This window comes from Homo sapiens, chromosome 2 (genome assembly GCF_000001405.40).
Source record: "Homo sapiens chromosome 2, GRCh38.p14 Primary Assembly".
Classification (NCBI taxonomy): domain Eukaryota; kingdom Metazoa; phylum Chordata; class Mammalia; order Primates; family Hominidae; genus Homo; species Homo sapiens.
The window spans coordinates 216,619,632-216,634,165 of NC_000002.12; the positions used below are offsets into that span (position 1 = coordinate 216,619,632).

General features: G+C 48.1%; 1 protein-coding gene and 1 long non-coding RNA gene across 4 annotated transcripts in view, besides 1 other annotated feature; one reads left to right on the top strand and one right to left on the bottom strand.

Moving 5' to 3' along the window:
* Positions 996–1,496: an enhancer, noted in NCBI's record as "H3K27ac hESC enhancer chr2:217485350-217485850 (GRCh37/hg19 assembly coordinates)". NCBI's record gives its function as "activates a minimal SCP1, AML or CMV promoter by ChIP-STARR-seq in primed H9 embryonic stem cells {active_cell/tissue: H9 hESC(primed)}" and the evidence as "EXISTENCE:reporter gene assay evidence [ECO:0000049][PMID:30033119]".
* On the bottom strand, positions 1,208–2,801 carry LOC124907977 (uncharacterized). The gene is made up of 2 exons (XR_007088079.1): positions 2,759–2,801; positions 1,208–1,480 (listed from the first exon to the last, which is right to left on the bottom strand). It is a non-coding gene; the product is annotated as an uncharacterized LOC124907977 (long non-coding RNA).
* Positions 2,802–13,196: 10,395 nt separating this feature from the next.
* The window catches only part of IGFBP2 (insulin like growth factor binding protein 2), a 31,609-nt gene continuing 30,271 nt past the window's right edge, over positions 13,197–14,534 (top strand). The window contains exon 1 of one of the 3 annotated variants that reach the window (NM_001313992.2): positions 13,197–13,644. Coding sequence is in view for 1 of the 3 variants with exons in the window: in NM_000597.3 (NP_000588.3) it covers positions 13,893–14,334 (442 nt within the window). In the remaining 2 variants the exon portion in view is untranslated. Of the gene's footprint in view, positions 13,645–13,788; positions 14,335–14,534 lie in introns of those variants that run through there. The other 2 variants (NM_001313993.2, NM_000597.3) reach the window with 2 other exon arrangements.

Sequence of the window (14,534 nt, forward strand, 5' to 3'; positions counted from 1 at the left end):
AATCACAGAGCAACAGAGAAACAAGGCCTGTCTGTGAAATTGCAGCATGTGGTCTATACATCCCTCTCCCAGGCCGGAAAGAGTTGGGGAGGTGGAAGGGTGCAGTTCAAACTCATTTCTCACCACCACCCAGCAGCAATTTCATCAGAAATCAAATGTGCCTACAGCAACTTCTTGCTTTCCATGTCATGACTCTCTGCTGAGGCAAGAGATTTCCTGGAAAGGGGAGTTAGGGCAATGAGTGTCTGCTGCATTGAGGGAAGGGAGTGAGGAGACGGGGGAAGGGGAGAGGGCTGTGTGCGCAGCTGGGCACACAGGGTCTGTAGCCTGCATTGCAGTATGCCTCTGCGGGGTGTGTGTGTGTGTGTGCGTGTGTGTGTGTGTGTGTGTGTGTGTGTCTGTAGTGTGTCTGTGGGGCAGGCTGGTGTCTGTGGGGTGTAAAGACAAGCTGATCAGTGAGCTTGTAATTTCCCATTGCCAGGCCCTTGGAAATGCTGGCTGGGTCGCTTTCCATCCTTTATTTGTTTAGCTTTGCCTGCTTCTCAGTGGCCTCAGGAGGGTGAGGGTGGGGGTAACAGGGAGATGAGATAATTGTGGGGGCCTAGACAAGTTTGCTCAGACAGTATTGTGTGGCTAAGACTATTGAGCTACTGAAAGAGAGAGAGAAACCAAGTACAATAATACTAAAAGTAAACATGAAGGTCGGGCACAGTGGCTCATGCCTGTAATCCCAGCACTTTGAGGCCGAGGTGGGTGGATCACCTGAGGTCAGGAGTTCGAGACCAGCCTGGCCAACACGGTGAAACCCTGTCTCTACTAAAAATACAAACATTAGCCAGGCGTGGTGGCATGTGCCTGTAATCCCAGCTATTAGGGGGGCTGAGGTAGGAGGATTGCTTGAACCTGGGAGGCGGAGGGTGCAGTGAGCCAAGATTGTGCCCCTGCACCCCAGCCTGGGCAACAGAGTGACACTCCATCTCAAAAAAAAAAAAAAAAAAAAGTAAACATGAAGACTCCAAAACAAGGATCTGTTAGTGTTGAGAGGAGCCGAAGGTGGCAAGTATGCTGTCTTTCTCCAAGTAGCTGGCTAGGGGATGGGGCGAGCAGGGATTTGCTTGGAGGGGAGGGGGGAGCCAGCAGACAGATTTAGGATTTAGAAGTCTGCTGCGTTTCAGGAGCTCCCCCATTGGAATAAGATGGGCTGTTGTTTGCCAGGCCTGAAAGTTTTATTTAATGATTCCAAATAGAATATCGCCAAACAGATGTAGTCTTGTTCCTCGAAAGAAAAGCTGCAGCAGGAAGCAGGGGGTGGGCTGTCCAGTGGAGGCCGCAGCGCAGCTCACATTGTCCACAGATGCCGCACTCTGCTTGAAACCTTTCCCAGGCCCGTTCTCGCGGCATCTGCTTTGCTTCCTTCTGTTGCCTGTCTCTCTTCCTTTCTCCAAGACGTCTCAGGGTGCACGTCTGAATCTTGTCCTGACTGAACAGAGAGGGGCTGCCAGGGCCCGGCCACAGCTGGGTTGAGATTCTCCTCTGGGGACACTGGGGACTGGGAACACCTCACCCTGGAATCCTGGGAGGGAGTGGGGACCCTCATAAAGAACTTGACATTTGTGGAGCTGGCCTTTCTCACAGGCATTCTAGGGCTTTCTTGGGGTTACATGGATGGCTGCTCTAATGGGGGTTGGTTGGATGCAGGCTGGGAAGTGATACTTCAGGCCCTATGTTATCTCCTGGGCACGGAAGCCTTTGAAAATCTGCTCTCTAAAACTGAGGAAGCCCTTGAGCAGGGGTGGACCAGCTACAGCCTGTAAGCCAATTCTGGCCGCCATCTGTTCTTGTAAATAAAATTTTATTGGAACACAGCCTGCTCATTTGTTTAAATATTGCCCTTGGCTGCTTTTGGGATATAATGGCAGAGCTGAGTGCTTGCAACCCCATGAAGCCTGCAAAGCTTAAAATATTTACCACAGCGCCCTTTACAGCAAAAGTTTGCCAACTTCTAATCTAGAAAATTCTGGCTGAGGGATGCTTTGCTCAACACCCCTTTCCGTCAGATGCAAAAGGCCCCTGTCCTGAGCTATCAAGGATTTCCACAACTCCTTTACCCCAATACAAACTTCCAAGAGGGGAGGGAAAAAACTTCTATTTGTTTGTAATGTGTTTAATGGGAAGCGCCTCTACCCAAGGCTTGGAGCTCTGTCTATAGTGCTCTTTGTAAAACTGTAAGCCCCAGAAGCTGGGCAGGACTCCTGGCCTGGTAGAGGGTTGACTCATTTATCCAAATTGGCCTGCCTCTGGAGAGCAGCAGTTGTCCCTTGCTTCCCAGGGAATGACCAGCAGTCGGAGGAGACAAGGGTGAGTGGGGTTGCCCCTCAACTCCTTGGAACAAGGCTTGGCTTCTATGCAGATGTCCCATCAGTGAGGAGGTGTGGATGCTGTGCCAATTACGCTTTCCATAGCTGGTCTCCACAATATCTCTTTCCCACTCGTTATTTCTCCACCCCCTTGAACATGGGCTGACCTTCCGTGTGTCTAATAGGATGTTGGGGAAGTGATGCTGCGGGACTTCTCAATGCCAAAAAGACTTGCAACTTCTGGGCCCAAGCGCGGTGGCTCACGCCTGTAATCCCAACAACTTGGGAGGCCGAGGCGGGTGGATCACCTGAGGTCAGGTGTTCAAGGCCAGCCTGGTCAATGTGGCGAAAACCTGTCTCTACTAAAAATACAAAAATTAGCTGGGCATGATGGCGCATACCTGTAATCCCAGCTACTCAGGAGGCTGAGGCAGGAGAATCGCTTGAACCCGGGAGGCAGAGGTTGCAGTGAGCCGAGATTATGCCACTCCACTCCAGCCTGGGTGAGACTCCGTCTGAAAAAATAAAAAAAAAAAAGACTTGCAACTTCCATCTGGTCTCTTGGAGCACTCACTCTTGGGACACTCCCTCTCAAAACCCAGACCCAGCCACCATACTCTGAGCCACCTGAGCCACAGGAGAAGCCAGATGCAGGTGCTGTTGTTGACCAGCCAGCTCAGCTGACAGCCAGCAGCCGGCACCCACTGCCCCCAGGGGAGTGTGCAGCCCTCTTGGGTGTCAGTTGAGCTGGGCTTTCAGATGATGACTCCAGTCCCAGACACCGTCTGCTATAACTACATGAAACAGCCCACATGAGAACTGCCCAGCTGAATCCAGTCAACCCACAGAACCACGAGAAGTAAGATAAATGGCTGTTTCAAGACTTAAACTTTGGGATGGTTTGTTATACGGGAAAGGTCATGAGAACAATGCAATGGCAGTGTGGGCTGTGAGGGGAATAGGGGATGAGGGTGGCCATCTGGTTAGTCCCAGGTGGGGTTCCATTGCTTTGGTCTGGAAAGCTTCCTCTAGTAGTAGAAGATTTGGACTTTTCCCTTCTGTGCCTTGATATCTCTTTTTTTAGAGGAGAATCACCAAACTCCCTACCTACAAAATATAAATCAAGAAAGGATTTTTTTTTTTTTTTTTTTGTGACAGAGTCTTGCTCTGTTGCCCAGGCTGGAGTGTAGTGGCAAATCTCGGCTCACTGCAATCTCCGCCTCCCGGGTTCATGCCATTCTCCTGCCTCAGCCTCCCAAGTAGCTGAGACTACAGGCATCCACCACCAAGCCTGGCTAATTTTTTGTATTTTTTTTAGTAGAGATGGGGTTTCACCGTGTTAGCCAGGATGGTCTCGATCTCCTGACCTCAGCCTCCCAAAGTTCTGAGATTACAGGCGTGAGCCACCGCGCCCGGCCGGAATTGTTTTTTTTTTTTTGAGCCTACAACATGCCAGGTGCTGAGCTCACAGGATCCTCACAACTACCCTTTGAAGTAGACATTATTGTTCGCATTAAAGATAAGGAAACAGAGGCTCAGAAAAGTCAGATGACTGGCTCGAAGTCATCCAACAAGCAAGTGGCAATGTCAGGATGCAAACTCGGATCTATTGTTGCATGTTTGAATATTAATTGAAACTGACAATTTCTATTGCTCCTGGAAAAACATCCTACAAAATAAATGTGATAAATAATACTTACATAGTACTTAAATGTTTTAGCTGTTGTTTTTAAGTCTTAAGTGCCTAAAATATTGTTATTCATATGCTCACAACAACCCTATGAGGTAGGTATTATCAGTGTCTCCATTTTGTAGATGAGGAAACTGACACACAGAGAGGTTAAGAATCTTGGCCGGGTAGGCCGGGCGGGGTGGCTCACGCCTATAATCCCAGCACTTTGGGAGGCCAAGGCAGGCAGATCACCTTAGGTCAGGAGTTCAAGACCAGCCTGACCAACATGGTGAAACCCTGTCTCTACCAGAAATACAAAAATTAGTCAGGCGTGGTGGTGCACGCCTGTAGTCCCAGCTACTCGGGAGGCTGAGGCAGGAGAATCACTTGAACCCAGGCGGTGAAGGTTGCAGTGAGTCGAGATCATACCACTGCACTCCAGCCTCGGTGACAGAGCAGGACTCCGTCTCTAAAAAGAAAAAAATAGAAAAGAAACTTGCCCGAGTTTACACAGCTAGTAAATGGTTGCATTAGTCAGGACAGCTAGCCTATATTACAATAACAACCCTCTCAAATCCTAATGGCTTAAAACAACAGAGGTTTAATTTATACTCATTAGCTGTTCAAGGCAGGAGGCTCTATTCTCTAATCCATACAGTCACTCAGGATCCAGGCTGGTGGAGACCCTGCCATATTGTAGCCTCACCATTTAAAACATGAAGAAGATAGAAAGTGAGGAGTCATGTAGGTTTTGTTCCGTTGCCTCAGGCTAGGAGTGACAGGTCACTTCATCTCACTCACAGCTCACTGCCCACAACTAGTCACTTGTGACTGTGCGAGTTAAGCTTCTGTGTGTGAAGGAAGGAAAAGAGAATGGGATAAAGGTGAACATCAGCAGGCTCTACCACAGTAGTTTGAACCAAGACTTGAGCCTAGGTCATGTGGCTTCAGAATCTTTGCTCTTAATCACACTAAACAGCCTCTGTAAGTCATCTTTCCTTCATCCAGTGCCTAAGAACATGCAGTCCAATGCCCTCATCCTTCAGAAGAACTTGAGTGAACTCAGAGAAATTGAGTAGAGTGCCACAGCATGCCCAAGGCCACACACCCTGAGGTTGGCAGTAGGTCCTGAGTTAGAGTTGTCATTTCTTGGCTCCCCTGGTAGTAGTGGAAAGGTAAGGTTTTGACATACTAGTTGGATGACCACGGGCAGGTCACTTAAATTGTCTAAGCATCGTTTGACCCTTGTAAGAATTAAATGAAATAGCACCTGTAAAAGTGTCTGCACGGACTTACTGCTGTTAGTTTTGTTCCTTTCTTCCTGTTGTCACTGCACTTCCCTGCCTGTTACCCAGGCCATGCAGACCAGCCAGGCCTTCGACTTACAGTGCGGATAAGATTCCAAATCTCCACGGCTGGTTTCCATGCTTTCTTCCAGGCTTCTGAGGACCCTGTGCTCTGGTTTCTTCTATTTCTTTTCTATTACTTTTCTGTTACTCTTGAGCACACTTGCTGGAAGCAATATGCATCCAGTTCTCCCTCTCTTGCCTCATTACACTTTGCAGAACAACTCCAATCCCTTCCAACCAAGTAGTCCCTTTGAATTTCTCCTTCCTCTGCAAACATCTTCCCAGCTTTACAGAGGGGGGGACGTGGTGCTTTCTGACCTCACACTGAGGAACTCTAAACATCATACCTACTCCTGCACCATGCCAAAAGACATGGGTGCCTCCCACGTGCCTAATGCAATCATAATGGCAGGACTATCTTTGGCTGAGGGTTGCATACCAGGCAGTGGGTTAAGGATTTCACCTTGTTTTATTTACTCTTAAAATTTTTGTTATTTTTAAAAATTAGAGACAGAGTCACACTCTGTTACCCAGGATGGAGTGCAGTGCTGCGATCCTAGCTCACTGTAACCTTGAATCCCTGGGCTCAAGCATCCTCCTACCTCAGCCTCCTGAGTGGCTAGGACTACAGGCACCCCCTGCCATCCCTGGAAAATTTTTTAATTTTAATTTTTTGTAGAGATGGGGTCTTGCTGTGTTGCCCAGGCTGGTCTCGAACTCCTGGTCTCAAGCAATTCTGCCTTGGCCTCCCGGAGTGTTGAGATTATTGGCATGAGCCGCTGTGCCCAGCCTAATTTACTCTGTTTTGTTGTTGTTGTTTTGAGACGGAGTTTCACTCTTATTTACCAGGCTGGAGTGTAGTGGCACGATCTTGGCTCACTGCAACCTCTGCCTCCAGGGTTCAAGTGATTGTCCTGCCTCGGCCTCCCCAGTAGCTGGGATTACAGGCGTGCACCACCACTCCCCGCTAATTTTGTATTTTTAGTAGAGACGGGGTTTTACCATGTTGGTCAGGCTGCTCTTGAACTCATGACCTCAAGTGATCCACCTGCCTCGGCCTCCCAAAGTGCTGGGATTACAGGCATGAACCACACAGTGCCCAGCCTAATTTACTCTTTGCAACAAGTCTCTGAAACAGGTACTATTATCATCCCCTTATTACAGATGAGGAAACTGAGGCTGAGAGAAGTTAAAAAACTGGCCCCAAATTACATAGCCAGTAAGCAGAGTGGGTGGACATGAATCCAGGCAGCTTGGTCCCAAGGCCCTTTTTTGCTTAACTCCTACCTGCCTCCAGGGCCCACATTCTGATTCTGATTCTTTTCTTTTGTGTCCTTTCCATTTGGTCACTGTGGAGTCATCCAACCTGATCAGCAACTTCTAGATGGCACGGCTATACAAAGCCTAATCTATCATCTGGGAGGAGGCGCTTGGTTAAGATTTTCTGAAGACAAAGATGATGACAGCGATCGATCGAGTTGTTGACCTGGCACTTGTTGCTTGTTCAGGAAATCACCACGGAGCATGCAGCCCCAGCCTCAGTTTCACCACAGCACATTTTTCCATTCTTCATCTTTTCCATAATGATGTTCCCCAGATTTCCCTTAGGGAGTTTCTTACCAAGGAACTGGGTCAGAAAAGCCAGAGGTCCTCACCCCTGTTCATTCTGTTTCAGGGTTCACCAAGGAGGAGGCTGTGCTGGTCTCTGGCAAATCCCAGGGGAATGTATAAAAACTAGAGGACATTTCCTCCACTCAAGCAATGCTCTTATCCTTTTGTGCTTCTTCCCTTCCTCTCGAAACAACAACTAAAACTCAAACTCAAAACTCCTCCATGAAAAAAAAGTATATGAGCCATCCATGGTGGCATGTGCCTGTCATCCTAGCTACTTGGGAGGCTGAGGCAGGGGGATCACTTGAGCCTAGGAGGTTGAGGCTACAAAGTGCTATGACTGTGCCTGTGAATAACCACTGCACTCCAGCCAGGGTGACACATAGTGACCCCATCTTTAAAAAAAAACTGTGATGGCCGGGCATGGTGGCTCATACCTGTAATCATACCTAGACCTGGAATTTCTGGGTCATAGGGTACACATTTGTTCAGCTTCAGTAGACAGAGCCAAAAAGTTTTGCCAAGTAAATGTATGAACGTATACTCCTATCAGCAGTACCTGGAGGTTCCACTTGCTTCCTATCCTTGCCAACAATTGGCAATTTCCATCTTTTCTCAATTTACCAGTTCTGGTTGAACACCTTCTTTATTCACCGTGGGCTATTCACAGTGGGGTTAATATATGTATGATAAAATAGGAGGAATTTTTAAAATATGATTTCAACTTTTATTTTAGATTCAGGGGGTGCATGTGCAGGTTTATTATATGGGTTTGTGGCGTGATGCTGAGGCTTGAGGTATGAACGATCCCATCACCCAGGTAGTGAGCCTAGTAGCCAACAGTTAGTTTTTCAACCCTTGCCCCCTCTGTCCCTCTCCATCTAGTAGCCCTCATCGTCTGTTGTTGCCATCTTTACATCTATGAGTACCCAGTGTTTAGCTCCCACTTATAAGTGAGAACATGTGGTATTTGGTTTTTTCTTCCTGTGTTAATTCGCTTGGGATAATGGCCTCCAGCCGCATCCATGTTGCTGCAAAGGACATCATTTCATCCTTTATTTTATGGCTGTGTAGTATTCCATGGTGTATATATACCACATTTTATTTATTCAGTCCACCATTGATGGGCACCTAGGTTGACTCCATGTCTTTGCTATGGTGAATAGTGCTGCAGTGAACATATGAGCACATGTGTCTTTTTTAGTAAGATAATTTATTTTCTTTTAGCTATATACCGAGTAATGTGATAGTTCTGAGTACCCTGTGAAATCTCCAAACTGCTTTCTACAGTAGCTGAACTAATTTACATTCCCACCAACAGTGTATAAGCGTTCCCTTTCCTCTGCAGCCCTGCCAACATCTGTTGTTTTTTGACTTTTTAATAATAGCTATTCTGACTAGTGTGAGATGGTATCTCATTATGGTTTTGATTTGCATTTCTCTGATGATTAGTGTTGTTAAGCATTTTTTCATATGTTTATTGGCCACTTGTCTGTCTTCTTTTGAGAAGTGGCTTTGCCCACTTTTTAATGGGGTTATTTGCTTTTTTCCTTGTTGAATTGTTTCTGGATATTAAACTTTTATCAGATGCATAGTTTGCAAATATTTTCTCCCATTCTGTAGGTTGTCTGTTACTCTGCTGATAGATTATTTTGCTGTGCACAAGCTTTTTAGTTTAATTAGGTCCCACTTGTCAATTTTTGTTTTTGTTGCTATTGCTTTTGAGGCCTTAGTCACAAATTCTTTCCCAAGGATGATGTCCAGAATGGTGTTTCCTAGGTTTTCTTCTATAATTCTTATAGTTTGAGGTCTTACACTTAAATCTTTAATCCATCTTGAGTTCAGTTTTGTATATGGTGAGAGGTAGGGGTCCAGTTTCTTTCTTCTGCATATGGCTAGCAAGCTATCCCAGCACTATTTATTGACTAGGTACTTTCCCCATTGCTTATTTTCTCAACTTTGTAACATTATGTCTGGGTTCTCTATTCTGTTCCATTGGTCTATGTGTCTGTTTTTGTACCAATGTCATGCTGTTTTTGTTCCTGTAGCCTTATAGTATAGTTTGAAGTCAGGTAATGTGATGCCTCTGACTCTGTTCTTTTTGCTTAGGATTGCTTTGTCTATTTGCACTGTTTTTTGGTTCCATACGAAAAATACAACAATTAGCCAGGCATGATGGTGGACACTTGTAATCCTAGCTACTCTGGAAGCTCAGGCAGGAGAATCGCTTGAGCCTGGGAGGTGGAGGTTACAGGGAGTTGAGATCACACCATTGCACTACAGCCTGGGCAACAGAGCGAGACTCTGTCTCCAAAAAACAAAAAAACAAAAACAACTGCTTATTGTAAGTTTTCATTTATGTGAAAACTCATCCACGCCAGCAGAAGTCAGGACAATGTTTACCCTTGCAGAGCATGGGGATAATAACCAGTAGGGGCATGAAAGGTTTTCCATATGCTGTCAACGTTCTTTTCTTTATTATTTATTTATTTACACAGCATTTCACTCTGTCATCCAGGCTGGAGTGCAGTGGCATAATTACAGCTCACTGCAGCCTCTACCTCCTGGGCTCAAATGATTTTCCCACCTCAGCCTCCTGAGTAGCTGCGACTACAGGCATGCGACTACAGGCATGCGCAACACCTGGCTTATTTTTTTATTTTTTGTAGAGACGGGGTTTCACCATATTGCCTAGGCTGGTCTTGAACTCTTGGGCTCCAGTGATCTTCTTGCATCAGCCACCCAAAGTGTTGAGATTACAGGCGTAAGCCACTGTGCCTGGCCAATGTTCTTCTTGATCTGGGAGCTGGTTATACGGTGCGGTCAATTTGTGGATATTTATCTGGTTTATCTACTTTTTTTTGCATGTATATTTCAATAAAATATTTTTAAAAAACATTCCTCTCCTGATGACTTAGTGGAGAAAATCTCAGCTTGGGTTTGACTTAACTTGAATGCTTCTTCTAAATTGTCTCATCTTTCTTAACTTGGGAAGAGTGTGCCAGCTTCAGAAGCTTCAGCAGGCAACAGTATCCAGCTCGAATCAAATAACATTGTCTTGTTTTCATTGTGTTTTATGGTTACCATCTATAGATGGCCATCAATACTACATTTCCATTTATGGTAGTGATATACAATTTCTTTTAAAAATGATCGTAAGCAAAAAAAAAAAAGAGTGAATTGCCTTACTTTAAAAAAATTATGTAAATAATAGTACAGGTGGTACCTAGTTACGGTAAACCATGTAAGGGTGGGGTTTATAAAACGTGGTTGAGATGGAAAAAGGCAGGGATTAAGGGGAAGGGAGAAAACCAGTCTTAGCCTGTCCCCATCTCTCAACCAATCCTCACTGCTGGGCACAGACAGGCTCTCAAGCCTGAGGACATACCTTTGCAGAGGACTCATGAGAAATCTAAAGTGAAGAATGCTCCAGGAACAATGGGATGGGCAAAGCCAGAGACAACAAGCGGAGAACCTGGATTCACTCAACAAATATTCTTTGAGTATCTCTGTGCAGGCACCGTTCTAGCCCTGGGCCTACAGTAATAAGCAAAATGGTTAAGTTGTAGGCCAGCCAGTAACCAGCTCTGGGTTCTGGGCTGAGTCCCCCTACTTCTCTAGGCTTCAATGGATTGAGGATGCTCTGTGATTCAAGCCTCTGTAGCAGCTGGCCTTTGGGGAGTGGGATTCTGAGTGAGGCTCAGGAGAGGTTAGGAAAAGCCTTAAAAATATGGGATTATTTTGTTATGTGTTTGCGTGTATTTAGGGTGGGGAAGGGTAAAATTGGCCATTAACCTGGGAACTAGGAGAAAAGAATTGGGTGTGGCCTTCAGGCTCATTAGAAAGTGAAATATCATTGAGTACTTTGCATTTGTCAAGTCAGCATCACTTTGCCTGCTCATCTCCACTGCTCTTGGCTGAAAGATCAAGAACTTTAAAAGGAGGTGGAAAGAGAATGAATCCCAAAAGATAAGTGAGTAGCTGCATGGGAATGAATGAATCAATGCCACTCTTAGCCTCTTAATAGACTCATCACAGCCTTTCATTCCCAGCTCCTGGGCATTGCAATTAAGACAGAAAGAGAATGAGGGGCCCTGCCAGGAATATTTTGAGAGACTGTACTTTTCATTCACTCAACAAATATTTATTGAGTGCTTACCTGGTGCCAGGCAGTATTTAGACCTGTGGGCTGTCCAATTTGATAGCTACCTAGCCACACATGGCTATCAAACATTTGAATTTTGGCTACTTCAAACTGAAATGTGCTGTATAGCATACACATCAGAACTTGAGGATTTAGTATAAGAAAAGGAATGTTAACTCTCTCATTAATTTTAGTGTTGATTACCCATTGAAATGATAGTATTTTGGATATACCGCCAAATTAAGAATATTATTAAAATAAATGTCATCTATTTCTTTTTACTATATTTTAATATGGCTACTAGAAATTTACAATTGCACATGTGCTCACGTTTGCGATTTGCAGTAGATTTCTATTGGACAGCGTTGTGCTAGACCCTGTGCCTACTCTGTAGGAGCTCAGTGGGTGGGACCAACAGAAACACGTTACAAAGCAGGCAGGAGACACCAGGGAGAATGAAGGTGGAATGACCATGATCCTTCCTGTGTCTTATTTTTATTTTTTTTAGATTGGCACTGTACATAGTGCTTTTTACTTCTTTTTTTTTTTTTTTTCAGATCGGCACCCTACATAGTGCTAACGATTTTTTTTTTTTTTTACTTTTTTTTCAGATCGGCACTCTACATAGTGCTAATGATTTCCAGAAGTCCAGCTCTGTCCATCTCTTCCTCTGCTCAAACATGGATGCTGTATCCTTACTGCCCAGCATATTAAGCCAAAGCGCCACAGTCAACTGGATTTCCTGCCTCCCCTGCTGCTCTCTGCAAGCATCCTGCACTCTGGCTGAAGTGGACTTTCTGATCCCCAAACTCATTTTCCCATTTCTCTCTCTCTCTCTCTCTCTCTCTCTCTCTCTCTCTCTCTCTGTGTGTGTGTGTGTGTGTGTGTGTGTGTGTTTTGAGACTGATTCTTACTCTGTCACCCAGGCTGGAGTGCAGTGGTGCGATCTTGGCTCACTGCAACTTCCACCTCCTGGGTTCAAGCGATTCTCCTGCCTCAGCCTCCCAAGTTGCTGGGACTACAGGCGTGCATCACCGTGCCTGGCTATTTTTTGTATTTTTAGTAGAGATGGGATTTCACCATGTTGGCCACGGTTGGCCAGGCTGGTCTTGAACTCCTGATCTCAGGTGATCCACCTGCCTCGGCCTCCCAAAGTGCTGGAATTACAGGTGTGAGCCACCGCGCCCGGCCCCATTTCTGTGTTTTTGCTTCAGGTGGTCCCTCTGCCTGTGCCCTTGCTAACCGCCCATTTCCTCTGGTAGAATTACAAGCTTCAATTTCAGCTCCGACTCACCCAAGAAACTCCCCTTTCCTCAACCACCACATCACCTCTCTACCAAAATATTTCTTTTCTTCAAAGCCTCTGATAAACATTTATTTATTTATTTTTTATCTTACCAAAGTCTTTCCCGATAACTCTTCCCAGCTTGGCGTCTTAAGACCAGGTACTTGCCTTCCTGGAGGCATCTAGGTCACCTTCAGAGCCAGGTGGCCATTGGGTTAACTAGCTGTTGAACTGAATCAAACAGGCTCTGAGCCTTGAAGTCAGAAAGAGCCAGAGTGGAGGGGTCTGGGGGGAAGAGGGGCGCTGAGGTATAGGGAGATGAAACCTGCGGTGGAGGCAGCTTAATGGTCCACCTGTCACCCAAGGAATCTCTCTGACAGGGGTCTTTGTTAGGGTCACACCCCAGGAGATGGTTGATTATGGCTGAGTCCAGCCTGGAATGATGGGGGTTGGGGGCAGCTTGGGTAGATGACTCAGTAAATCAAACAGAACAATGAAAGGAGGTCATGCTTGTCCATCTGCATTATTGAAGACAGCCATAAATGGCCTTACCCCAGAGCGGGTCTGTCACACCTGGAGAGCTGATCTGACCTCTCCAAGACCCCTGCAACTGAGTGTTCTGGGATCTGTCCTGCAACAAGTGCCTCGAGATTTGTAGGTGGGGGCCCAGGGTGCTAAGGGATTATTTTAGCGGGCGGAGAAGGGAGGGGGTCTGCAGACGAAGGGGGCAGGTTTTGCGGGGCACTTAGGGTTCTCATAGGTTGTAGTCACGAGCTCCCAGGTTTGGAAAACTGCAATAGTCACTAAGACCATTCGGGGCTGTTTGGGTCTAGCTTGGTCTAGACGGGTCTGAAACTCCGCAGGACCCACCCAACAAGAAGTCATTGTTCCAAGCCACGTGTCAGTGGTGGGTGATACCCCAGGATGGAAGGAGTTGGTATGAGCCGACTGAAATCTACTTGAAGGTCAAAACGGAGCCTTATGTCTTTTGTGTTCCCCAGCGGTTAGCCCAGTGCCGGCCACAGGGGAAGCGCGCAAACGAAGTCCTCGCGAACTGAACTGAGAGCAGACAAAAGCACGCGCTCTTCTCCACCGCCACGCCGGTCCTACCCAAACCCGCGAGTTATCCGTATTCTCCTTCAGGAGTCATAGTCAGGCCAGAAGAGTGCGGAGGGACGGGGCCCGGGAAGAGCAGGGAACCCCCAGAGCCCGCAGCCAACGCGGAGGTGGGCGAGCGGGCGTGCGCGCACTCACTTGCCGGCGCGAGGGAGTGTCGGGGGGGAAGGGAGTGGTCTCCAAAAGGGGGAGGGGAGAAGGCAGGGGGCGGGGAGAAGCCGGCCCTTTAGGACCCGGCTGCGGCGGCGAGGGAGGAGGAAGAAGCGGAGGAGGCGGCTCCCGCGCTCGCAGGGCCGTGCCACCTGCCCGCCCGCCCGCTCGCTCGCTCGCCCGCCGCGCCGCGCTGCCGACCGCCAGCATGCTGCCGAGAGTGGGCTGCCCCGCGCTGCCGCTGCCGCCGCCGCCGCTGCTGCCGCTGCTGCTGCTGCTACTGGGCGCGAGTGGCGGCGGCGGCGGGGCGCGCGCGGAGGTGCTGTTCCGCTGCCCGCCCTGCACACCCGAGCGCCTGGCCGCCTGCGGGCCCCCGCCGGTTGCGCCGCCCGCCGCGGTGGCCGCAGTGGCCGGAGGCGCCCGCATGCCATGCGCGGAGCTCGTCCGGGAGCCGGGCTGCGGCTGCTGCTCGGTGTGCGCCCGGCTGGAGGGCGAGGCGTGCGGCGTCTACACCCCGCGCTGCGGCCAGGGGCTGCGCTGCTATCCCCACCCGGGCTCCGAGCTGCCCCTGCAGGCGCTGGTCATGGGCGAGGGCACTTGTGAGAAGCGCCGGGACGCCGAGTATGGCGCCAGCCCGGAGCAGGTTGCAGGTAACGCGGTCTGGAACAAGTAGTTGGGAGAAACTTGGAGGGCAGCGGAGAAGCCCGACGGGCGGCTGGACCTTACGGACGGTTTTAGGGGCGGCAGAGCCGAGACCTTGGACCAAATCAAGGGGGACTGTTGCTAGCGGGACGCGGAAGTCAGGCCCGGGGAGGGGAACTGGAGTTAGAGCAAGTGGAAGAGCCCTGGC